The sequence below is a fragment of the Homo sapiens genome, chromosome 13, assembly GCF_000001405.40.
Source record: "Homo sapiens chromosome 13, GRCh38.p14 Primary Assembly".
Lineage (NCBI taxonomy): Eukaryota > Metazoa > Chordata > Mammalia > Primates > Hominidae > Homo > Homo sapiens.
The window spans coordinates 61178012-61205580 of NC_000013.11; the positions used below are offsets into that span (position 1 = coordinate 61178012).

Here is a 27569-nt window from a genome sequence, read left to right on the forward strand (position 1 = left end):
CAAGGGGGCATTTAGCAATGCCTGGGGTCATTTTTCCTTGTCATTACCTGGGAGACAGAGACACTGCTACTGGCATATAGAGTTGGCTCCTTGTATCTGTCAGTTCCACCTATGCAGATTCCACTGACTGTAAAAAAATACCATATATATATATATATATATATATATATATATAACAATAAAAAATAATACAGCAGCTAAAACTAATACAAATAAAATACAGTGTAAAACTATTACATAGAATTCACATTGTATTAGGTATTATAAGTAATCTAGAGATGATTTAAGGCTTACAGAAAGAAGTGCAGAGGTTGTATGTAAACACCATGCCATTTTATATAAGAAAATTGAGCATCTGTCAATTTTGGTATCCGTGAGGGTCCTGGAAGCAATCCCCTACGGATACAGAGGGACCAGTGTAATGGGTAGAGACCAGGCTGGCTGCTAAATATTCTAGAATGCACAAGACAAAGAATTATCTGGCTCAAAATATCAACAGTGACAAGGCTGAGAAACCCTCGTATAGATTAAACCAAGCTGGAGTCTGCATGCTAGCAAGGAGTGTCATGGTGTCTTCTCCCTTCTCCAAATAATGTAAAATAACTTTTATTATGTACCATGTTCTTTTCTTAAACTTTTTTTTTTTACTTATTCCCCTATTCCATACAATTATATTATAATAGAAATAAAAGATCTTTGCCTTTAAAGTTAGAGTAGAAGCAGGACCTGGCATAGGCTTCTACCAAAGGCTTTCTTTTTTTTGCAATCTGAATTTTTCCCTTTCTCTATGCATGATCTTCTGAGATAGTCTACACAGATGTCTTATGTGGCCTTATACCTTAGACAAATGAAAAATTCTTCCTTTTGGGAAGGCAAATTTGCTTCTATAACTTTTTCTCCTCTGCTTTTGTGAGTATGAGAGAGTTTCTCTACTACAAGACTGTAGGATAAAAGTTGGTATAACAAAAATAAAGATTGAAAAGATAAAATGACAACCAAAAAACAATGACAAAATTGGAATTCAGGAATAATCTTCACTTTGGCAATATGGCTAAATATAACTTGGGTTAGGGATCTCTTGGGTTAGGAATCTTTTTGTGTGATATATTATTTTGAATTTATAGAGCATTGGTTTTTAACAAGTTTTTATCATTTTTAACAGGTTTTTATCATTTAAAAGGTGACTAGGGCAATGGGATTACCTCTGATATCAGAGAGTTGGCAATCATGTAACCCTGAAAGTCATGGCACAATATGGCAGAACAAGCACGTCTGGGGCCTGGGAGTCCTGAGGTACTCTAGTAATTGTGGTTTTCCTCATACTCTCTGGATCTGGGGTGACCCAGAACACAGTCATAATTCTTGAACTGTTTGCAAGTGCAAACCTTGAGATCTTCCCAAGCCAGTCACCCAGTCGATAATCAGCTCAAGATCATCCCTATACCCCGAGTAGAATTAGTTGTCAATATTTAGGGCACAAAATTCATTTTGGTGAGATGCCCTAGGCCATTGACACTAGTCATATAATAATCTAATGTGTTTGCTGCAATGACACATTGCAGCCCTATGTCCTCTGAGTTCTGGCTCTAATGTGGTATTTCTTTACACTAGCTTTCTCAATAATATGAACAGCCTGCCTATGAACTGAAATGTGAAGTATGATACCCACTATTATATATCTTTCCTTACTGCAAGTCCAACTAATGGTTATTAATATGAACAACTTACCTCCTGCTTGCTTTCAGCTCCCGAATTTTTATTGTCTGTACTTTTCCTGTAGTGAAGTAGTTTCATAGCTCAGCAAAGCCTCAGAATTTTTTATGAACAGTCTCTAAAAGGCAGCTAGATCTAGCTCTAAGACATCAAGCAAATGACCCAGGACTTGTTATTTTTCTTGTTGGTTTCTGCGTAGCTAAGGCAAAGGCTTTTTCTTGGCCTCCACTCAGCAATATGCAAAAAGCTGAAGCTTTTAAAGTGGGAGAAGAAACAGAAGGAACAGAGGAGGTAAGCTTTTGTTTCACAAAGAAATTCCAGCAAGTTACCTAGGGATACATTATTAATCAACTTCACCTGTTGATAGTACAGGTTGGTTTATTGATATTCATTATGCTTGTTGGTAAAAATAAAGGGGGAGGGGGAAGGGGATTGAATAACGTCAGTTGTCTTACAGTCGTTCTCTGTTTCTACTTTTTGTTTGGAAACTTTAGTACAGTACATGGCTGTTTCAGTAATTGTGGTATGAAAAACATCTGTGGAGGACAGTTTAACGTGTTTGTCTCTGCAAAGCCCCATAGCAAATAACATGTACATCATCAACTCTCTAATAACTCTTACAGGAGGCCTCTAACTACTGAGCACACATCAGGGGAATGATGTATGATTTAATACCTTGAAATAGAAAAACAAAAAAAAGGAAGAAATTCGACCTGCTGGGAGTTTCTCATTAAATATCCAGAGCGCCAGTGACTGCTGTTTCCTAGTTTAGTCAGGAACGTCTTTGTTAAGCATGTGCTTTGAGTGTTTAACATTCTGTTCTGCCAGTGATACCTAAAAAACCCACACTGCAATCTAATTTCCCATATCTTGTCACTTATTTCCAAAATGTGGACAGAGACTCTTGGTGATCAGATCTACTCTTTATTACCAAAAGTCTCAATTATATTAAATTGCCTCTCTAAAGATTTTAGGATCTGGGACAGAACTAGGTACATAATTTGCCAGGCACAGTGACAAATGACAATAAGGAATCCTTATGCAAAGCTTTCAGACGTTTTGAGATGGCAACAGTAGAGCATTAAACCAAGTATGGAGTCCTCCATGACTGCACAGGTTGCAAACCTGCAAAGCATGTCTAGGAAGCTGGCATACCCACAACAGACAACACATATCCAGGAAGGCCACTTGGAAATCAGAAAAGTTATTCCACACAAGGAAAACCCCATAAATATAATATTATAGTATTCTTTATAGTTATCAAACTTCTGATGGTATTTCTCTTTGTGTATTCAAAAAATGCTTGAAAAGACCAATTTCTACCATTTTTTGTAATTCTATGAAGGCATACTTAAACTAAATTGTACATATTTAAAGCATAAAACTTAGCAGTTTTCAATATATGAACATGCCCCCCACCCCCACCGCCCACAAATAAGACATCACCATAACACATATTTCTGTTATCCCAAAAGGTTTCTTCATGTCCTTTTGTAGTCCATTCTCTAACCTCTCTCCACCTTGTCTCCAGGTAACAACTAATAGGCTTTCCTCGGTTTGAATTTTCTAAAAGCATAGAATATTTACATTTGCCTGGCTCTTCTCACTCAGCATGGCTTTGAAGTTCATTCATATTGCCACATTTATCAAAAGTTCATCTCTTTTTGTTGCTAATCAGCATTCCCTTGGATAAACTGTTTATCCATCACATGTTCATGGACAGTCAGGTTGTTTCCAGTGTTTGGTTGTTACATGTAAAGCTATTAGAAATACCCATTCTTGGCTGGGCACGGTGGCCTGTAATCCCAGCACTTTGGGAGGCCGAGGTGGGTGGATCACGAGGTCAGGAGATCGAAACCATCCTGGCTAACACGGTGAAACCCCGTCTCTACCAAATATACAAAAAATTAGCCAGGCGCGGTGGTGGACACCTGTAATCCCAGCTACTCGAGAGGCTGAGGCAGGAGAATGGCATGAACCTGGGAGGCGGAGCTTGCAGTGAGCCGAGATCGTGCCACTGCACTCCAGCCTAGGTGACGGAGACTCCGTCTCAAAAAAAAAAAAAAAAAAAAAAGAAATACCCATTCTTGTGTGAAGTACGTTTCTTTTTTATTTTCTTGGGTAAATACCTAGGAGTGGAATGGCTGGGTTATCTAGCAATTATATGTTTAAATTTTGAAAAAAGTCCCTAATTGTGTGTCAAATTGATTATTGCATTTTACATTCTTACCAGCACTGTCTGAGGGTGCTAGATAGTTCCATATACTCAGAAACACTTGTCTGGTCAGAAAAGACGAACTCATGCAATATTTAATTATCTTCTAGTATTATCTTGAATTTATTTGGAGAAAATTTTCACTTTTACTTCCAAAATATTATTATGAACATTTTCAGACACAAAAGTTGAAAAATTGTACCACGAACCCCCATATATATATATATGGGTCTAGTCATCACTAAATTTTAAAGGATAAAGGTTATACACACACACACACACACACACACACACACAAACACAGACATACAACAAAGAATAACATAGATCGCAGGTACAAATTGTCACTCCATAACAATTATTTTCTTCTAGGAATTTTCACTTACATCTGATTTTTTATTAGATTAATCAAATTAAATCTAGAAAGGAATTTATATATCATATAGTTCTCAACATCCTCATTTTCTTTATTATACACATAAGGAAACTGTGGCCAAATTAAAATGATTCGCTCAAGGCATCAGAAAAAAATTAAGAAGTGAACTAGATTTTGTGATTTCTAGATCAAATTTCTGTGCACAAATCTATATTTCCTCATATAATTAACAATGATTTATATTTTAAATGAACATTACACATTCTTACTACTGAATTGTAAAATTACTTTGAAGTTTTTTTACGTGCCTACAATTCTGTATTATATACAAAATCATGCACTTTTAATATTGGAAAGAACCTTACTATCATATAAATTCTAGTTCAACCCTCAGGTCCATTTAAAATCTGTCTCTAAAGTGAGTAAATCAGTGCTTTGAAATAACGTTTAATGTAATTCAGTTATTTGGATTTTATGTATTTGGAGGGAAACTTCGAGTTTGTAATTCTGTTTTTTGCTCTCCTTTTGTCTCCTTGTGCCCATTTTGGGGACACATCTTCATGTCACAAACTCCATCAGGGAAATTTTCAAGTGAAGAAACAGGAAGTGGAACTCAGAGAAGTCCAATTTTATTTGTTAATAAGTAGGAGGTTGAAAGCAATGGTTAAAATTGGATTTTTAAACTATCAGTAGATGTAATTTATTCCATCATGCTGGTTCCCTATTTGCCTTCTCTTTATTGCAGGTAATTGAGAATTAGTCACATTTGTTATTTTTAGCACTGCCTGATTTTGTCTGGAAATGGAAGTGAAACTATAAAAACAGGTAAAGAAAAACAATTTAAAGTCTTTAAAAATATTTTAAAAATCAGAATTCTTGGTTCAGTTAACTACAAAATACTCGGAGACTTGGAAAAAGATTGTTTTAAGATACAAATTAAGTGACATTTTTGGAGTTGATTATTCTGGTTCATTTAGATAACTAAAATTGGGCTGACTCACTGAAAAGAGCTACTTGCCACACATCCTCAATTAAGTGCATTGTTATTAAGAAGAGAGTTGGGGACACTCATTTCATTCATTTTACTACCAATGCTTGATTTTGAGGATGATACTTTTGAAGCTTTGGGATACTTATTTTTCCCCTTTAACCCTGAAATTTTACCCATTAACACAAACTGTGTTTTTCAGGATAAGCGCATTTAAAAATGTATTCAGTAGGCTTTTAAAGTTTAGGGTTTTTTTTTTTTTTTTTTTAAAGAGGGAGCTTTATATTCACAGATATCCTCAAAATGAAAAGTAGAGCTTCTAAAGCTATTTCTTTGTAAGGATTTAAATTCATTCACAGGCTGTTAATTTGAAGGGTATTTGAAGTTTAAATTATAATGCATCAGTCATCCTTGAAAACCCAGGCAATCAATATACACAAATACAGAATTCTGTAAACATTATTTTTGTCCACAGTTCATTTATACATGCTTATAGAAATTACTCATGCTAAACTGCAATTTATCAAATCGCTGACAACAAAACAAATCACCCTGTCATATTATACTTAAAATGTCAATGTTTAATACTAACTTCTTTCTACATAAAGATATGACATTTGATTGCAAGTACTTAGTGATACCAGGCATAGTGAGAAGGAAAAGTGTTTCATCTTAAGAATCACTATGCCAGTTAACAAATATACACATAATAAATTACTATTTCCTACATTAAAATGATCTTCCAACATGCTGAGAAATTTAACACATCTACCAAGTGGAAGTTGTTCATATATCACCATAGAGATCAGAATCATCGCCTTTAGGTACACATACTTAAAATAATCGCAAAGCCGTATGCTCCCATTATAGATCTCTTTCGCTTTTTACACAAATGCATTAACCATGGGGCAATCCTCTATCATTGAAAATAGGTAGGAAGCACTTCTGAATAAATTACTTAAGAATAATGTGTATTACACATAGGCATTCATAGGAATTTACAAATGATTTGGCAATGTATTTCAGGGAACTAAATGCTAAAATTTTGTCCATTCTGTTAAATTTTTATTTTAAGATTAGTTTTGTTTCTATTTTCCATTATCTTTTTATCATAAAGTTATTCAGATCCTTCAGAGCACAGAGAAAATTTTCATAATTGAAATGGAAAAGTTATTCCTTTGGATGCAAAACATGGAAAATAATCTGATTACATTAATAACTTAAAATGTTTAATAACTGATAATTGTAAAAAGGTAATGTTTATAATTAATGCGATATTCTTGGGGGTTATAAATGTCTTAGGAATAAAATTTGGAGCAGGTAGAGGTGTATTTTGCAAATGAATCACAATGGAGCAGAGAATCGATTTTAAATTTAAAGAGCCTTCATTTGCCTTTTAAAATATCAACAGAGAGTCAACTGCTTTACCTTATTCTTTCATTTGTATTCCTACCTAGTTCCACAGCCTCAGCTTTTTCTAGCACTTCAATGTGAGACTCCCTCATATTCCCAAATGAGTATAGAAGGATAGGGCATATTTAGAGAGGCATGGAGTTTTCATGAAGTAGGAGCTGTTTATAACTTTCTTCCTAAAAATAAAAAGTGGGTTCTCACTCATGAATATTAGACTCCCTTTTATAGAAAAAGTTTTGCAAACTTATTCAGGACAGATGTTCGGACAGATACCAGTTTGCCTCTGAAGAAAATAGGGCAGTTTAAAGTGGGTATGTTCTTCAAAATTGCAAGACAATCACGATCCTCTTATTTGCAATTCTTCCTAACCCCAATTCCCATAACTCCTGAACCTACAAATGTTTTCATTATTTCTTTGACCTCAATCATTTCTTTCTCTTTGATTTTTACATCCCCTCTGAACTGTCATTGGATAGTTGATTACCGTTTATTTTTACTTTGAAATTTTAAATTTTCCTCAGTGCTTCAACCATTTGAGTGCAAACATCCACTTTTCATTTGAAAAATCACAGGACTTATTGCTCTTTGAAGAATCACTAAGTCATAAAAAAAGCTTCATTTCTAGGATATATGTAAAATTATGACAATAGCTGACATGGTAATAAAAAGACCCTGTGGCATCTTCTGGTTTCTTCTTACTTTTCTCTTTCTTATGATTGATTCTAGGAAGAAACATTGTGCATTGAACTTCAAAGCTGAGATATGAGACTCTAGCTTACTTCTAAGAAATGCTTGATTTCATACAAAACAGTAGTTATTTCTTTTCCTGGAATCTTCGAGATTCTCTCCTCATTCAGGCTTGGTATACAATCACTTGTTCAGTGAGCCTTCTTCAACCCCAATCCAATCAACTCCCAGGCCCTGTCTTTCATTTTGTCCTTATCGCTATCATTACCTTTTATTACTCACTATTTGTTAATTTGTTTCTTTACCTTTTTTGTCCATTGGAACACAAGATTTATAACCAGAGGCATCATTTCTTTCTTGTTCGTTACTGCAAAGAACAAAACCCGCACAAAGAAGACTCTCAGGAAATGCTGGCTGAATGACAGAATGAACATTGATAAATGAAGACTTCTTCAAATAACTGATGCTAGACATCTCTAAATGTAAAACAATATTAATTAAAATATTATCTTAATTTCATTTAATTGAAAACATGGAATTACATATATGTTAAGTCATTTTAGAAAGAAATGTTAGAATGTTAAGTGTTAAAAATGTCAATTCTGACAAGAGTCTAGATATAGCTAATTTGTTCTAGAATATTCTTAGTAATTACGTAGTTGATTTTGAATTTTTATTTCTGAATGTCTTCGGTATACCTACATGCTGGTGAAAATGAAGACATTCCTTTTTGCTTTTATAGTATTTGTAATTTAAACATACATTAATTCTTTAATGACCTTGGAGATAACTTTTGCAATCATTGTGGCTAGTCATTGTGCCTGAAGGTTTTATTTTTCTCTTTCTGCTGCTGAAACTAGAATGCGCCCTTGATTTCACACTCTTGCTGAACTGATACTTTTGTTCCTTTCCAGATATCAGAAATAACATGTGACCATGACATCATTCATCATTTTTCCATCAAAACATTTGAAAATAACTTGGATTCATTTATTAGAGCTTTATTTTCCCACATCTTGCAGTACCCTAGAGTTCTACAGTAATTAACCTTATGCTGAATGGCAGAGGACATGCACTAAGCTCCTATTTAAAATCTATTCATGATGCATTTTAAATATTCAGTAGAGACTTCTTAAACATGCAGCCATAGTCTATTGAAAATGGATTTCCTAAAGCCAGGAGATTGGATATTAATATCTGGCATTCGTATAAAGACAGGTTTTTGTTAACCTATTATAAAAAGGACTGATGATGTGATTATATACTGTTTACTAGCTCACTTATATTTCTGTGCTAATAATTACTGTAACCCATTTGTTTAGTTTTTTTATTTTATTTTCATTAAGCATTGTTTTTAAAATTTTTTTATCTTAGCTTATGTTTGATTTATGTTTTTGATTGAATAAAGGTTGTTTGTTAATATAGAATCTGCTGTCATTTCGGTTTTATCTTTCCAAAGTAAAATTTATATAAAATGTATTAAAGAAATTCTGAAACTCCTGAAATGAGATATTTAAAGGCATTAGTACCTTTGCGCCTGTGGTATCATAGCCATTCTTATTTTAACATTTTGTGAAAATGTTGGCACCCAGGAGATATTTGGCAATGTCTGGAGACATTTTGGTTATCACGACTGTAGAGTGTGAACACATCTAGTGAGTAGAAGCCAGAGATGTATTAAATATCTTATAACACAGAACACCGCTCTACAACAAAGAATTATTCTGCCTAAAATGCAAATAGTGCTGAGATTAAGAAACACAAGTTTAGACAAATTAAATTTTAAAAACTTAGTGTACTCTTAAAAGCATAGATAAAAGAATGCTTACTTAATGTATTGAAAGTTTTTCAAAGAGTAAAGTATTTAAAAATGTCTTCTTGGCCAGGCACAGTGGCTCACGACTGTAATCCCAGCACTTTGGGAGGCTGAAGCAGGAGGATCATTTGAGGTCAGGAGTTTGAGACCAGCCTGGCCAACATGGTGAAACCCCATTTCTACTAAAAATACAAAAATTATTTGAGTGTGGTGGTGCATGCCTGTAATCTCGGCTATTTGGGAGGCCAAGGCAGGAGAATTGCTTGAGCCTGGGAGACAGAGGTTGCCATGAGCCAAAACTGAGCCACTTCACTCCAGCCTGGGTGACAGAGTGAGACTCTGTCCCACACTCTCCCCGCCACCGAAAAAAAAAAAGTCTGCTGCTCAGAGGAAACCATGAGCAGTAGGGTTAATAAGAAATGACGTCATGAGTAATTGGAGAAGAGATTGCATAGGCCTTTGTAAAACATTCTTAAAAAATGGCTCTTACATTGAATGAAGTGAGATATCATTATATACTATAGAGCAGAGGAAAAGCATAGTCTAGTTTATATTGTAACAGGATCCTTTGGCTACTGTGGTTGGCAGAATTCCAAAGATGTTTTCCGAGATTCTCTTCCCTTGGTTAGTCAATAAAACATGAATCTAGGTACTGCTGTGAAGGGACTTTGGAAAAGTAACAGGCCTTGAGATAATGAGATCATGGATTATCTAGATAGATCTACCTTAATCACTTCAGCCCTTAACAGTAGAGACATTTCTCCTCCTGGGGTCAGAGAGATGTGGCAGAAGAAGGAGGCAGAGGAAGGATAAAAAGGGTGAGAAAAATACTACCCTCCCTTGCTGGCTTTGATTATCAAAGAAGGAGGGATAAGCCAAGTAAGGTGGGAAACTTTTAGACATATCCAACTGAAAGCCAGCAAGAAGACTGGGAACCTCAGACTTCTACTGCATAGAACTGAATTCTGCCATCAACCTGGATGACCTCGGAAGCATATTTTCCCCTAGAGTCTCCAAAAGCAATACAATTCTGCTGACACCTTGATTTTGACCTAAACAGAGAACCAGCTGAGCCATATTGTCCTGGACTTTTGACTTATGAAAACTGTGAAATCATAAGTAGTTACTGTCTTAAGCCACAGATTTTATGATCGTGATTTCAGCTGCAATAGGAAACTGATACAGTTGCTGTGTTGAGAATTATAGACTCTGGAAAAGTAGGGATAGAAATAGGAAAAGTAGCCGGGAAGTTCATTAATAAACTGGACACAAGATGATGGCGGCCTTGAACAATGTGTTGGTGATGGAAATAATAAGCATTGAGTGATTTCTGGATATATTTTGAAGGTAGAGTCAATAGGATGTGCTAAGGGATTGGAGGGGTGATGGAAAGGAAACAGAGAATACCAAGGAAGTGCTGAAGGCTCTGTCTGAGCACTTGGAAGGACAGAGGTGCCATGATTAAACTGGGTAAGACTGAGCATATTTTGAGGGAAAGATGAAGATATTGGTTATGGACATGTTCAGTTCTTGTTAGTCATTCAGTTGGAGATATTGAGTAGGCAGTTGAAAAAACTGGGGTTCAGGAGGAAGTTCTTGACTGAAGACATGTTCTTGGCAGTATATAATTGGTATGTCAAGCCAACATATAACCTAGGAAGTAGCTATAAATAAATATAAAGAAATCTAAGGAATGAACTCCAAAATTTAGAGGTCAAGGGGGTGACAAGGAACCAGACGATACCACTGTGCTGAGACAAATAAGAGTATATAGCTCGTGAAGATAGTTTTGTGATAATTAGAGAAACATTTGTAACTAGTTTAAATTTTTGCTATAAAAATTTTTATATAGGTTTGAAACAAATATAAACACATTCAATAATATCTAGTGAGAGTCATCTATTTTCAGGTAGAAAAATAATGCAAAAATATGTCTTTTTAGGCCAGGCGCGGTGGCTCACGCCTGTAATCCCAGCACTTAGGGAGGCCGAAGCGGGCAGATCACGAGGTCAGGAGATGGAGACCATCCTGGCTAACACGGTGAAACCCCGTCTCTACTAAAAATACAAAAAATTAGCCAGGCGTGGTGGCGGGCGCCTGTAGTCCCAGCTACTTGGGAGACTGAGGCAGGAGAATGGCGTGAACCTGGGAGGCGGAGCTGGCAGTGAGCCGAGATTGTGCCACTGCACTCCAGCCTGGGCGACAGAGCGAGACTCTGTCTCAAAAAAAAAAAAAAAAAAAAAAAAAAAAAATATATATATATATATATATATATATATATATGCATACATATATATATATATGCATACATATATATGTATATATATATCTTTTTATAGCTTGAATTTCTGTATTTTCTTATTTCTTGTCATTTGAACTTGTAATCATTTGAAGTATTACTTAGATCACCAAAAATTTAAAAACAAACAGGTTCAAAAATCTAATGACTTTCAAACAATCATCTAATTAATTTCTTTTTTCTTCCAATTATCCAGTATGTTAAGTCCTGCTTTGTCTCCATTAATATGATATCCTGACATCCTGCCAAGTCAGAACAAAGCTACCAGATATTAGCAAAATAAGCCATTAGGTCTTGGGACAAATGCTAAACTTTTCTAAAAAAAAAAAAAAAAAAAAAAAAGAGTTATTCATTCTTTGCCTATTTCTGTTAACTTTTTTTTTTACCATGTTAAAAGTGATTATTGTTTTTCTTGGTGAAATGGGAATCAATTATTTAACACATGTTTCACCTTAACCCTTTCCACTGTCATGATCATGAGTTGTTTTATACTTTTCAGCTGATTTGGGGCATAATATTGAAATCTTTCTTAGCACAGTATTCTGGGCAGCTACCAAAGACAGCTATCATGATTCAGAATGAAACCACTTGCCATTTCTGTTGTTTTTGTCTCTCTTGAATCACCATCAAGGATGTGAAACATAAATACTTCTTCCCTATATATTGCCTAATAATTTGACAATACTGTCATGCCACTGCATTTATCATAGAAATTTGTATCTCTAAATGGTAGCAATCTTCAGTGATTATCAATACTTTTTTATCAATTATCAATAACTTTTTATACTACATACTTCATCCCCTTTCATGTTTCTCTAGTCAAAAATATGTATTTCTTTTTACCTTGTTTTTTTTTTGATACTTTAAGGAGAGTTATATGCCAAGTTTCACAGAGCATTATTAAATCACCCTTTTCATAGTTATGCAGGCATATATGTTCATTTTTGTTTATATTGCTGTGAAGGTGCAGAGCACTGGCTTTGAGGCTTCATGAAGATGAACACTCATGTGTTTTTATTCCTAAAATAAACATGCAAGTTAGAGTTAGTGAGATGAGCTCAAGACATATTTTTGGCGAATCATCAGGCTAAGAATGTTCAGGGAGGGTGGGTTCTCCAGTCTTATCAATCAAATCATAGAGGAAGTAATTGGTTTGGTAGCAATTATGCTTTGGTTGGGGTAAATTGTGAATAAGTGAGTCGTAGCCATGTTATTCTGAAACTATCACTTTTTGTGGTTGAAAAACTGCACTTACCAAGCCACATCTTCTGGATCTAATATTATCTACCTACCTGGTAGTTTCCTTACCTATGTCACTTAGCACCACTGTGCACATGTTCTATATTTAATGAGCAATGCTCAGTCACATTGCAACCGGGCAGTGATAACCACCGGTAGGCATGCACTTTTGGTTGTTTCCAAGACAAAGAAGGCACAGAGTCTGGAAGACCTGGCCAGGACCACCACAGTATTCTATTGGTAGTACAACAGTAACTCTCTCATTGTCCAGTGGTGACTAGCACACCTGTACACACACAGGCACACACACACGTACCTCTACTTATGTCCACACATGCCATTTGGTTTTCTCCCTGGCATCCCTTTGCCCTGGATTCTCTTGAAATATCCTGCCTTATTTCTCATATTGTATCATTCAAATAAAAAAAAAGCCACCAAAAAATCTCCACTCTATAGGAATAAGGGGCTATCAGGACTTTTTTTCCTTTGTGAATTTGAGTTAGACTAGTTATTCTCTAGAAGAACTGGTTGTCATACTCATCTTCTCAGCAAAGCCTTTTGTTCTCTCCCAGCCCATGACAGTCAGAGCATCTTCTGAGCTTTCACCACAGTCTGTTCATGCCTTTATGAAATTTTCAGTGATCTGTGTTGTTTTGGCTGTTTTGGCATGTAGAGATTAAGGTCTTGAATGAAGAGAAACATGAAATAATATCTAGCTAATGGTGCTTAATAAAAATTTCTGGAATGAATCAGGTGATTAATTAACATCTTTTTATTAGGATAATGGCAAAGAGTTAAAGACCCACTAATTTTATCTCAACTGAAACCCCAAATTCTTTGGAACATTGGTTGATTTCTGTTGGATCTGAGTCCAATGAACATATAAGGAACCTTTAAAGCTAATATAACCAATAACTTCCAGAAAACTAGCAGACTTGGGAAATAAAAGAAATTCTGTCTTTCATAGGAATTTTATGAAGGATATTTTGCAATAAAAATTATCCTTTTGGCTATTATAAAGACCAAGTAATCATTTATAAATCAAGGTAGGCAAAAGCTTATTTAATTTGGTATGCTTGGAAGTTAGCCAAATTAATTTATAAGTGTCACTCATCCTTTTGTTAATCCATTTTACTGACAAGTTTTGAAAAGAATGTAAAGACATATCATCACTGGGTCACCTGTGGGCCATACTTCGCACTAATTGGAAAGATGGCTCACCATGAGTGAGATATTAAAACATGAAAAAGAACCTCTTATTTCAAGATATTCTTACTTATTTATTCTTAGTCATGCCATGCTAACAGGTCATTATATATCCTTTAATACCACCATTTTTCTACTCAGTGTAGAAGGTAATAGCAATCAAAACATACACTGCAAAGTAAACAGCAATCCCAGTTTCATATGGGTTTCCTTTTATCATTTCAGAGGAAAGGAATGTAGATAACTACAGTGATAAGACCCAAAATGGGAGAGAGATTACTATACATAGAAAAGCCCATTGATTAGAAGTTGTGGACAGCTTTATGATGACTATTTTTTAGTTTGAGGATAATGAAAGTTTTCCTTGACCAACGACTGAATAATTTTAGAGTCTAGGCACAAGGCTTTAATAAACTTCATTAGTGGCTGTGGGATATATTTGACCATTGACTCTTCTAGTCATGATTCAGTTTACTGGTTTACTTGGCTGAAATTGAAGTGTGTCTGGAGAGAATCTCCCTGGTAGCAATGTTTTTGCAAAATATTCATTGCTTTAAACAAAACAACTATATGTTTCTGGGGTCCATTTGCAAAAAGAACTGTATAAGTACTCACAGTTGTCAAGACAGTTGCCTTGATTCATTCACTCATTCAAATATATTTATTGCATGCCCACTATGTGCTAGTTTTCTAAGCAGGGGGTCCACAGAATACACAGAAAACCGTATCCTCTTAGATTGTGCATACATTTAGACTGTAAATTATGGCAAAATTAATTAAAAGGGAAAGGTAAATTTGTGGAATGTCAAATGGCAATAAATACTACAGAGAAAAATAAAGCAGAGAATGAGACAAGGAGTATTAGAAAACATGCTTTTAAAATAAAATAGTCTGGAAATGTTTCACCGAAAAAGTTACATTTTAGTAAACAGTTTGCAATGGAGTGTGGCATGTTGACACTAGTTGAGCATGACAGAGTGCAAAGCCTTCATCTGGAGTATATGTGGTGGGTTGGGTGTGAATAAGGAGGGAGGGGAGGGGCTGGAGCAAAGTGAGCAGTGGTAGGATAGAAGGAAGTGAAGTCAAAGGGGAAATGAGGTCTCAGTCTTATCAAGCCTTGTAAATCAGGGTAATGACTGGACTTTACTCAGGGTAAGCTGGGAGGCTATATGGGAGTTTTGAGCCAGAGGAATGACATAACCTGTCTTTATTTTAACAGGATTGCAGGATGATGTTTTGAGACATAGACATAGATGGGGCTTCAATAGAAGCAGAAAGCCCTGTCTTGCATCCATCTGATCATTCACTCATTTGTACAACAAATACATATTCACATATACAGTGATTCTACCTAGAAAAAGGAGAGGACTTTTCTATAGCTTTTACAAAAATGACTTGAATTTCACAAGTGAACCAAGTCCTAGAAAAGATACTTTTTTCCCTATTACATGGAGAATTTCCTTTCCAAATGAAGGGTGACACATTAAGTTCTGGTGAATCTGATTGACTGATCTGAAGAAAACAAAACAAAATTCACAAACAACTAGTGCTTCAATTGGTGGTTTTATAAGAAGTGATTCTTTCTGAAGAAGAGGAGCACTGGAATTACTCACCATGTTTCATTTTTATAGATACACTTACAATAAGATTGACATGTAATTTTTATATATTTTCTTAGAATTTTGAACATATGGATAGCAATTGCTGCAATACCTGTCCAAAAGAACAGGTAATGAGTGGGTTCGGGAGGCAACAAATGGGTTAATTGGGCAGGTTAGCTGAAAATACTCCAAAGATGCTCCTATGACTTTCAAAGTTTGTCATCAATGAAAAATCTATTTATGCGCTTTATGGGGTACATATTTTCTGTTGCACAGACCCATTTCTGTGCCCTAATTAGTCTGCCTTTTAAAGACATTGGAATTGATTATGTGTTTTTACATGTCCCCACTGTTTTCACTGAGCATTAATCTTTTGCTTCGTCAAATAAAATATGTAAAAATCTTTGTACATAATTTTCACTTTTGTTAAAATTTTAAGGTTTCAAATGCCACATGTCACTTTGAAGATTCTGTTTTATGAGCTGCTCCATATTTTTGACAATTTCTCAACTCAATTTTACTAGTAACTACTACCTTCTCTCTAACATCCTGCTTTGTGAAGACATAAAGGCATTACTAAAAGCACTATTGGGAGCAATCTGCCAAAACCCTTACAGGAAAATCCCCTACAGAGTTTTGCTAATAGATATTTTTCATAGCTATATTTTATAATTACTAGATCCAAATAAGTTGTATTCTTTTTCCCAGAAATGGGCATTTATATATGAAGTACAGCGATTACATTAAAACTAGTTTGGCAAATATTAATGAAATAACTTACTGCCATAATCATGGGGACCTGGAACTTGTGGGGAAATTTACCTCATGATATCTATTGAGGTGAATTTCTGCAGTAGCAATATTTCTGATAATTTACACTGCTCTCAAAAAGCACTATTGAAAGGTGATGCAGTTTATGATTTTTTCCTCTAATGCTTATTGAAATATTCATTATTCACAGTGGGTGAACTCACTCTCAGTTTTTGCAATCTCTTCTCTTCTCCAATTCCTAATTTTCACCTCAGTCTTTTACATCTTAGGAAATGACACTGCCTTCTCCCTACTGCTGAAACAATAAATGTGCAAGTCATCTGTGTTTTCTTTATCTGTACTTCCTTCAAATCAATTCATCAGTAAAGTTTTCAAATTTTGTAATATAAATCTTTTTTCCTCCATTTTCAATACTATCACCATTTCTTGAATTCTATCCTCTCTTATTTGGACTAAATCATGAAAGTGTTAGCTCTGTCTAATTGGTATTACCAATCCTCTATCCACTCCTCAACCAAGATGAAACAAAAAATTTTTTTAACTCACAATTTTTTTTTTCGTACATATTGATTTGAGGGTAGGGAGATAACCTAAATAAGATAACTTTATGTCCTTCTTAAAACTATTTGGCATGTTCCCATTTGGGGCTTTTAAACTTTTTATTTAGGGCTTCTTTTCAGTGCTCTTAATATAAGACTTCCTGCGGTCATAAACCTCATGCACAGTAAGTACTAATTATAATTCATAATATTAACTTCAGACTCAAGGTTAAAAGGGCTCTAGTCAGCATGAGGCATAAAATGAGATGGTGCCCGGTGATCACACAGGTCTCTGGAAAGAAAGAAGTTCCATTTTGACATTCAGAAGTAGATTCACTTGTTTCCATAGCTTGATTTTTAGATGATGTTCTTCAGGCCCCTTCTTGCTACATTATTCAAGCACACAGGGTCGTTTAGTTAGTTAATTTCCTCAGTGGTGTGGAGGTGTTGATGGAAGAAAGCCGATTGGAGAAAGAATGCATTGTGAGTAAAAGTAAAGCCTACATAGGTACACAAGTCGGAGAGAACCTGTGCACTTGGGGCCCATAATCATCGTGTATGGCTGAGACAGTGGCTCTGTTCAGGGTGGGAGGAACTGAGTGTTACTGAGTCATAAAGGGAGGGCTTTCTCACCATAGGAAGGAGTTGGGATTTTGTCTTGAAGCCTGTCGGGAGGCACTGAAGAATTTTATTAGGTCTACTGTTGATTTTCAAAGTCTGGTGGGTTCAATTTTTCTTCAGCGTTTGAAAACAAAACTCTCCAAAGCCCTTCTTGAAAATACAAATCAAATCCAATAGCTTTAAATCAGTGGAGATGAAACATGCCTTCAAACTTGAGGAAACTTAATGAGAATGAAGTTTGGTCAGAACACCACTTCCCGAAATTGCCTCTCCCACAACTTCAAGGTAATCATGGAATTTCAGGCTGTGGTAAATATGAAGTAAAAATATTTAGTGATTTTTCATCTAATGTTTAGAAAGGAGAAGGATATGCTCAGAAACAGATAACTGTACTACCAATTAAAATTCTTCACCAACAATGCATTAATTTATAAATCTAATATGATGTGGAAAATAATGTATGGAAAAGGATATATTTTTAACAAACTTACAACATAGATTTCTCCTTATCTCTATGTAAGCATCTTCTAAATAGTAAAGACATTAGTGAAATTAGATATATTTAAAACTAGGCATTATTTTTAAAATGTAAGTGAAAGATTTATAATTAGAGCCATCTGTTGCATTTACTATATTTTGCACATATTTCAGGAGCACCAAAATAAAATAACAATCTCAAAACATTGTGAATGGCAGAAGCACATTAAATGAAGAATTAGAAAATGCACACCAAATATCAGACTCCTCTCTGAAATGATATATTCCTCAACTTTTAATATACAACCCAGAGCTTTTCTTTAAACTGTAGGAAGAAAATTTAAAAAGTAACTAATAGTCATCTTTAAAAGCTCTTTGAATTTTTCCTCACGTTTTAAAAGACATTTTGAAAATATATATTATGAATAATATAAAAATAGCTTTGAATATTTGAAATTATTACATTAAAACTTTTGATTAGAGAAAACCAAGAAGAATTAGGATACTGAGGAACCAGATGTGTTTGACCCCAAGGGGATACAAAGCAATTAAGCCCTACCTTTCTTTCCCTGAGAGCAAACACATCATCCTGGGTCTCTTCTGATCTGCATTTGTGAGTATCACATGTGAAATAGGATAAGTAGCTAACAATCATAGCCAGGATTATAAAAAACAACATAATTACAACTTTGCATTGACCAAGTAGCTGGAGTCAAGAAGAAATAAACAGAGGGAGAGAAATGGTATCTCAGCTGCGGGAGATCTTAAAGATTTACACACATGGGAAATACTGGGAAGCTACATATGGAAATGAGAGCAACCCATATTCATTCATTACAAAAAATATGCAAATTATTAGGCATAAGGTGAATGGAGTTTGTAGCCTGAGCTGGTATAGTTTACTGAAAAAAAAGACAGGCTCGGATTTTAATCCTAACTCAACTTTTAGTTATTTTCCATAGTGTAATTACGTAATTTTTAGGTTGCTCCCTATGTTTATCTGTAAGACTGGAATATTAGTACCTCCCTTGGTGGGAATGGTTGTAAAGCTTAAATGAGATAACATATCTATTAGTATAGTACTAGAAACATACTTGGTGCCAAACAATAAAGGGTAGTCATTTTATTTTTTATTGACTTTGTATAGTGTATCCATTTAAAACTCAATATTTGTGTGTGTGTGTGTGTATATCTATATATATCTATATCTATCTATCTATCTATATATATATCTCCTGAATTTCCATTGTTTCTAGGAGATCTTGAAAAGTGGAGTAGCAGGTCTGACGAGTGGTAACTTGCCATTCAGAATTATTTTATAAAACTTATCAGCAAAAGTACTAAATGTTATATTATTGTATTGCATTGTTCTAGAAACATACAAGTATCTGTTCAAAATTGAATTGGTTAGAAAACAAAACCAGTGTGTGTTAAAAGATCATTTAAAAATGCATGACTAAATTATCAATCCTCCATCAACCGACTTTATAAAAGAAAAAGCACATAAGTTATTTGAGCCATGGATTTTATCTGCACTATGTGAATGGTTTATATGAGGAATTTCCAACTCTTTTCTCTGGCCACATATAATTTTTTCCTTGCTTTATTTGATTCTTTTTATTTTTTATTATCCAAACTCTGGATTTATAAGTCTTTTTCCTTTAATATAAAACTCTCTTGTTCAAAAAAGTACTTTTAATTTTAAAATAAATATTTGCTAAATTTCCAGACTCTTTTTGATACTAAATGAAGTAAATATCTTAAAATATATAAAACTAAGGTCAATATATGACTAAGGTCAATGAAGGAAACACATTAGTAAAGTAGATACAAGTATATTAGTATTAAGACTGATGTAATCTATACTCACACAGCATATATTATGCATTATGAGGTTAATTTTATGCATTAAAAGGTTAATTTTTTAAAATGTTGTCTTTACTAGTCATGAGCACATGTATCACTGATGCCAATTTATGTCAACCTAAGGAAGGTCAATGGAAGAAGCACTGGATCCAAAGGCTAAACTGAATTATACTTTTGCTAGTAACTTTGGACGAATTATTTCTCACCCCATCTTCCAAATTAATGATCAAACAGTGTTAATAATACATATCCTTGTTATCGCTGCAATTTAATGGGACTCAAGTTAACAAATCTATGTGAATGAGTGTTGAAGAGTTGAAAGTGTAACTATTATTCACCTTGTTAAAAAAAAAACATGGGTTATAGAGCCAAATAAAACTAGCTTGGAATTTTCCTCATCTTCTTCATAGATCCAAATCCCTTGACAAGTTACTTAGCATCTCTGAACCTCAGTGCAATCAGCAAAGTTGAGGTAGTAATGCATAGCCTGGAGGTTGAATATAAAGTTACATTGAAACAAGACATCCCAAAATAACTAGTATACTGTCTGGCCCTTAAAAATTTACTGAATATATGATGATTTTCCTTTCTACTGTATCTTACATCATGAATTTATTTAACATAATTAGTGCTGGCAACCTTATGAAAGGAAAAGACAAATCACAGATTATATTTTCAATAGGTTTTTAAAAAATCAAAATATATAATAAACTCTACCAAAGCAATAAGCAAATTAAGAATAAACAATCCTGTAGAAAACAAGCAATTTAAGGAATCAGAAACTGAAATGGCCAATAAACACAGGGAATTATTTTCACAGTTTTCTCATCTGAACAGCTAATAAATAACACTGATATACCATTTCATATCCATAGTGGCAAACTTTTCCATTTGCATAATTACTTTTATTATAACTGAGGATAAACAGAAATTCTTATACATAATTTTTTATTGCCTAATAAAGTTGTATGTGTGTATCCCTGAATTCAGCAATTTCACCAGAAAGCATATATGTGAGAAACTCTAATAAATGGACCAAAAGAATTCCAAAACTGTACCAACCTATCTCAGTAGAAGAATGAATAAGCCTTGTTTTTATTATAAATTGAATATTAAAAAGCAATGAAAATTAATCAGATCTACATTTATCTTCATTTAAAACCTCAAAAACATAATGCTAAGTCTAAAAATTAAATCATAAAATTATATATACAGTAGTTTAAATTTACAAAGCAATTTCATATATATTAAATTATAATTTATTTTTAAAATGCAAAAGCATGATAGGAAAGATTTACACCAACCTGAGAATCATAGATCTTTCTGGGAAGACAGTCCAGGAAATAGCATGGGGTACATCTAAATTCTATCAATTATATTTTTATATATATACCAGGAAGAATGATTTCTTCTGCATCCTAGTGTGGGTATTGTCAATGTACATACCAATTCTTCTTAAGGCTGTTAAACCCACCATTCTCACTACCAAAATATTATTATTCATTTTGTTTTGAATAAGCTCAATAATCTATGTTGTGCTATTATTGTTATTATTGTTGTTGTTGTTTAATGAGCAAGCCAAGTTTATGAATATGTGAACAGTGAATAGATTCCATTTTGAGAGACATTGATTTATCACAATGAAATACAGACCAATTATAAGCTACAGTTTCTTCACGTGTGTTTTTAAAATATCTTATTTTACTCGAATAAAAATTCTTTTAGAAATTTAGTCGAATTTTTCTTGTGCCCTCTGATAAATTACCTCCTACTTAATGTTGTCTGTATTTTCAGTAAAAAGTTTACCAATATTTACGTGTATTTGCTAGGACATATCTGAGTTGAATTCCTCATTATGACTCTTACAGTTTATATGACCTAAAACAATTTCTGTTTCATCAGTTGTAAAATTGGTATGAAATATTACAAGGTTTTGTGAGGATTCATGTGGGATGACATATGTAAAAACACAGGACTATGCTTGGCACACAGTACCATAAGACTTTGTGCTATGTGCCAAGCACAGTCCTATGTTTTCACATATGTTAGTAGCATAAGTCACAGTACAAAGTATTATTAGCAACCTTATCAACACTGTCACTATTACCATCAGGCCATTCAAAGATTTAGAAATAATTAGGATTTTATCGTTGTTTGCTCTTTAAGTCAATACTTTGCATGGTTTTGAAAGTCCTCCTTAATTTCACCACACTTTCCCACATGTTAAGCTGATCTCTTTACGACATTGTATCTTAAATCAGCATGCTCTTACCAGACCTATGGCTTTTGATCTTTCATCAGCCTCACCTACAATGTCCTTTTCTTTCCATTTGTCTATTCTAATCCTTTCTATCTTCCAAAGCTTGCCTCAAATCTCATCTTGTCTACAGTTTCATTGAATTGATTTAAATCTTCTCAACCAATATTTATATTGTCTGTATCAGGTAATTTAGTGGTTAATTATGTTCTACCTTATATTCTTCACTGATGTTTTATATTCACATTGTCACCACAAAGTAAACTGTTTGAACCTATGGGCTGCATCTGTGATTTCTTTCATCACTCTGATAGAGCATTACAGAATCATGAGTGAGTAGCAGATATTTGATACATTTTGACTGTAATAAAAAATAACCCATTATATTTTTCCTAGCATCCAATTGTGTCTATCACTCATCAGTTCAAGGAAAGTCTCTCTGCCATAAATGGTGGTTTCCAATAAAATTTATTTCACTTAATTTAATTCATGTTGCACTCAGTTTATCTCTTGTCTAAGGTAAACTATCCAAGAAGAAAACCTTTAACAACTTTTCAATGTCATGATAAATACCTTTTGGATTTTTACAAAAAATTTTTACTAACATAATTAAGTGTGATCAAGTAGGATAACAGAATAAGAATGGTTATTCCTAAAGGTATGAAAAAGTGGGAGCATCAGCAAAATAGGGCTGCTATTTCTTATGGTTTTTTTTTTGGTTTAATTAGGCCCATTAATCTGAGAAATAACCTGAGACTATAAAAGAAATAAATAAAGAATCAAATACTTCTCCTAACAGGAGACCAAGTTAAAATAAGGTGCCTCAGTCACAGTAGAGCCCCAATTCTTAAAGGACAGTATCACTTCACACTGTAGAACTGAAATTATAATAAGCCACTGTGGGAATTAAACATCCTATAAGGCAATTTCATAAATATTATAACCAGATTATTCTGGTTAAAGCCTCCATCACTCATAGGATGATCATTTAGTTTAGAGCAAAACAAATGCATATCAGATTATAATTTATAACACTGCTTAAAATATGAAGTCTTATAGCTATTTTAAGTTTAAAACATGTTTTAATAATTACCCTTCTGAACTTCTAGGAGCTATCATATATTACTAAAACTTTTGCTCTGTTTGAGGTTTTAGAAAATTATAGCTAACTTATGAAAAATTAAAATATTCTTTTTATCAATGCTCAGTGATGGAATTTTAGGGATTGTTCTAAAAATATATTTAATTTGTAATAGATATATTTTTATACATTTCTCAATCTTCTTTATACATGCAAATATTTTTAGTCTTTTATAAGGTTCATCAGCAATTCCTCTAAAGCTTTGTCAGGAAGGTGATTCAGAATATCCCAGGCACTTTATTTCATTACAGTGTTGGAAACCAAATGATGAACTAACACAGACCCTGTATTCAAAAGAATAACTTTCCTGAAATGGCTTATAGAGTAGAGATAAATGATAAGCAAAACCTATTAAGGTGTTTCCAAGCATGTAGTCCATAAAACGCCACGTTCTAAAAATCATTGTTAATAATCATAATACACTTATGATCATTATAAACTTTTTTGTGATAATAAATTTTTGATCAATACACTCCTCTGTGTTCTAATTTTGAAGCTTAAAGTTTAGATAATATTTCTGCCTTCTAGGTTATAACAATCTGTATTCATTATTTGTTATCAACCAAAAAAATGGTTATCATTCATCAACCATTTTTAATGAATGAAATTAGACAGTAAAACACAAAAATAATTAACATGTCTCTGCCTTTAAGAGCTTCACAGCTCATCAGAGAGAAGAGAGAGTGAGAGAATTATAATTGTACCATTTGTATATTAAACCCCAAGTCCACCAGGAAGGAAAAACATAAACATAATTATAATTGTAGCATGTATATATTAAACCCTGATTCCATCAGGAAGGAAAAACATTATTTTGTGATGTTTTCTGTTTTCCTGGGGTTGTGATTAAATCCCAGGAGTGTGTGTATCCAAGGCTATGAGTGTGTTGGGGCAGGAGAAGATCTGTTTTCTGAAGGTATTCATTGAGACATATGAGCTGTCAGTAACCCCCTATTGCAGAGCCCAAGCATTCACCCAGCTGTTTCCCTGAGTCTCTAGCTCAGCAGGTAAAGTACAGACGCCTTTGTTCTCAGACTCCACATCTCTAACATGTCCCCAGGTATCCAACCAGTGGAGCATCACACAGCATGCCACAAATCCCATCTCCACCCTTACTCTCTTCTTACTCCTCATGGTTTTTCCTCAAAGACAAATTCCCTGCCCCAAAGTTGTTTGCCTCATATATAACTTGCATAATCTCCTTGATAGCTAGAAAATTTTGGAAATGTAAGTCCAGAGGCTAAAAAAGGATTTCTGTTTTCTGCCTTGTAATCCCTTGCTCTTCTTGAGAGAAGGAAACTCAAAGTACTATCTCCTTTCTGGAGGATGAGGGAGGGGTGGACTGCTCATAGAAAAAGGGAGATTTTTAAAAATATTATGACATGACAATTTAATAAGATCAGCAGAAGAAATAATGCTGGAGGACTATCAAAATGCAATACTAAAAAGACAAGAAGGTCTCACAAAAAGACTGTACGTTTCCTGGCATTTGAAGGAAAAGTATTTGTACCCACTGGAGAAATGGAAGAAAATATCGTTCAAGGGCAATGATGTATGAAGATCACAAAGGAGAAAGGCAGTGGCTTCCCTTTTCCTAAGTAAGAGGATGTAATGACAATCAATGGCATAAAATGGAATTCTGACATGTTGATTAAATGTGAAGAGGAGGGATCAGAGCAGGAGGAGGAAGCAGTGTCTAGCAGTGGGTGATATGGACTCAGTGGTGAATGTGAAGAAGGCAAAAATGGAATGGAGTAATGCTTATACAGAAAAATGTGGACTGACATCATGGATTACACGTAGAAATTCCTTCAAAAAAAAAAAAAAAATGACCAAGAGGATGTGGCACTAACCCTGAAGTCATGTGCCAAATGAGCAGAGCTTGTTGTGTAAGAGTGCCAGATATCCTGAAAATCTCTTAAAATTCTGAAAATCTCCTGAAAATCAAAGAATGTCTCACTTCCTCCATTCAATGAGGAAGCCCAAGAAATACATGAATGTGTGAGCCAGAGGATCAGTCACTTAATTAACCAAAGAAGAGTTTCTATAAAGCACAAATTATTTTAGAGAAATGCTGATAGAAAATTGAGCTCCACCACTTCTTTGAGTTTCATGATCTCTGAGCTTGCTGATACCTGAAATGGGCCTTGATAATTTCCACTTTTCCTTCTCTTTCATTTCTAAGAAATATGGGCTTGGTATAGTATTATTTTTCTTTAAAATATCCAAACACTGTTGTGGCATTTTAGGTTTCCTCAGATCCATAATATAAATTTTATTGATTTCTCATCAAACTGAAGGTTTAAACTTATCATCTTCTAAAATTTCCTGTAAAATTTTAATGGTTCATGGAGAAAATACATTTATAAACCAATGCCTTAATTGATGACTACCAGAAGAGAGATTCAGGGAATTAAGAATTCATTATAAGCCTGTCACTTTCATATTATTAGATCAGGTAGACATTACTATGAAATAATGTCAAAAAAAGGTGTACATTCTATAGAAGATAAAAATAGGTTGCATTCTACCTATTTGAAGATTCAGAACTGGAGGATTTGGTAGTGTTAAAATAATACGTTTTTCTGAATGACTTTTCTTTTTCACTTTATTTTACCACACAGATATTTTTTATTTTTAAAGCTTTCCAATTACTAAAGAGGATACTTTTATATTTCATATAAAGGTGCTATCATCTTTGAGATTGTCAGCTTTCATAATCAGTAATGCATGGATACTCTAAATCGTATTACATGAGTTTAGCATAATAATATGGAGGTACAATTTTTGCAATTGGTGATAGTAGAAAAAAAGACTACATGCTAACTAGTTGAAGTCCCTACACCAAAGTGATGGAAGGCACTACTTTATGGTATGCTTTGCTAGAGGAATCTTGGCTTTACCTCTTAATTTTGCCCAAAGTTTTTAATGTCCCAGTTCCTACATATGTGGAAATTAAATGACATAATGCATTCAAAAAGCTTACTCAGCATCTGTCAAATAGTTCCGGGATGATAACTCAAAGTGTGGGATTCAGAAAATCAATATTTTAAGTATTTTACAAATAAGAATAGTTAGCTTTCAAGTACAGTGATTCTTTGTTTTCATTTTTTCTAGATTTTTTGTTCTTTTGTTACAAACTTCATGGTATGGATAATGCTGATCAGGGACAACAAAGAAGGGAGTGAATGAAGAGTCTTTGGTTATTGTTTTGCAAAAGCCATCATTCATGCCTTTATTCCCCCTTCCACACATAAATTTCTGCGTGGTTTATTTTCATGGTGATATCATTTGATGTTGATCAATTTGGACAGATGAGCACTACAGATGTGGAAATACACATAAATTGTATTCAATTATATTCACATGTACTTCTGAAAAGCAACTCAAGATATTGACAATTTATTCCACACAAAAGATTGCCCTCTGTGCCTCTATTCTGTGATAGTCAGAAATTAAATTGGGATCATTTATATTGTAACAAGATCACGTTCCATCTACAATTATTACTTGGACTCTAAAATCTAAGAAATACATCATCATAGTTTTATTATATTACACTAGTGGTATCCATAATATGTAAACCTTGTATCCTCCCATTACACATCTGTACTCTCAAGCGAGATAGAGAAAGCAAACATAGCTTGTCCCATTCAATACAGTGAGGCAGGTGTCTCCATCCTCATGGAATAGGCCAGGAAGCCACTTGAGAGGTAAGATGCCCTGGTCAGGGCCACAAGGCAGCACATTCCACAGTAAGACTCAGAATTCTGAGAATCAGAATCTGGCAAAATCTGTTCTTCTGATTCAGTTTGCAATTATCTTGACACTATCCCCCTTGCTTTTATGCAAAAACAATTGAACATGTTTTAAATATGAATTGAAAGCCACATACAGACATTGACATTAAGTTTGACAGTGCTTTGGTTCCTGAAATTTCCATCCAAAACTTAGTCACACTCTTGAGTATTTCAGATCAGTGATTGCCAAGAAAATCCCATAGCTTTGATTGTTACCTTTAAGCATTGCACTTTTTTATCATGACTTTCAAAGTCTGGGAGGAACTCTTAAGAGAAAATTTATGTGAATAAAGAGTGCCTTTAGAAGCCAGGACAGGCAAAACCAAAGGGTATCAGTGAATTGGAGTAGGGAAGTAAGACAATGTAAGTCACTTCAATGAACTGCATAATTATTTCATTCAAGAAACTCTCTATTTGACTTTCAATTTTCTAATTATAGAGAACATGATGAAATAATCTCTAACTTTAAATATTATCTTCTAAAATAAAGGACCAATTTGATAATCTTGAAATTTGTGTTGTTGTTCATAAATGTGTTAGGTGC

The 27569-nt window shown here is 34.1% G+C and overlaps 1 long non-coding RNA gene and 1 other non-coding gene across 3 annotated transcripts, besides 1 other annotated feature; one reads left to right on the plus strand and one right to left on the minus strand.

Moving 5' to 3' along the window:
- The first annotated feature begins 244 nt into the window (after positions 1 to 244).
- Positions 245 to 8733, plus strand: LOC102723910 (uncharacterized). 2 transcript variants are annotated; one of them, XR_001749891.3, is made up of 3 exons: positions 245 to 5129; positions 7768 to 7874; positions 8307 to 8733. It is a non-coding gene; the product is annotated as an uncharacterized LOC102723910 (long non-coding RNA). The 2 variants fall into 2 exon arrangements; XR_942007.4 differs by having other exon boundaries at positions 803 to 2004; positions 5050 to 7874.
- Positions 8734 to 21786: 13053 nt separating this feature from the next.
- Positions 21787 to 21869, minus strand: MIR3169 (microRNA 3169). The gene has a single exon (NR_036128.1). It is a non-coding gene; the product is annotated as a microRNA 3169 (primary transcript).
- Positions 23987 to 24523: an enhancer, noted in NCBI's record as "OCT4-NANOG hESC enhancer chr13:61776132-61776668 (GRCh37/hg19 assembly coordinates)". NCBI's record gives its function as "activates a minimal SCP1, AML or CMV promoter by ChIP-STARR-seq in naive H9 embryonic stem cells {active_cell/tissue: H9 hESC(naive)}" and the evidence as "EXISTENCE:reporter gene assay evidence [ECO:0000049][PMID:30033119]".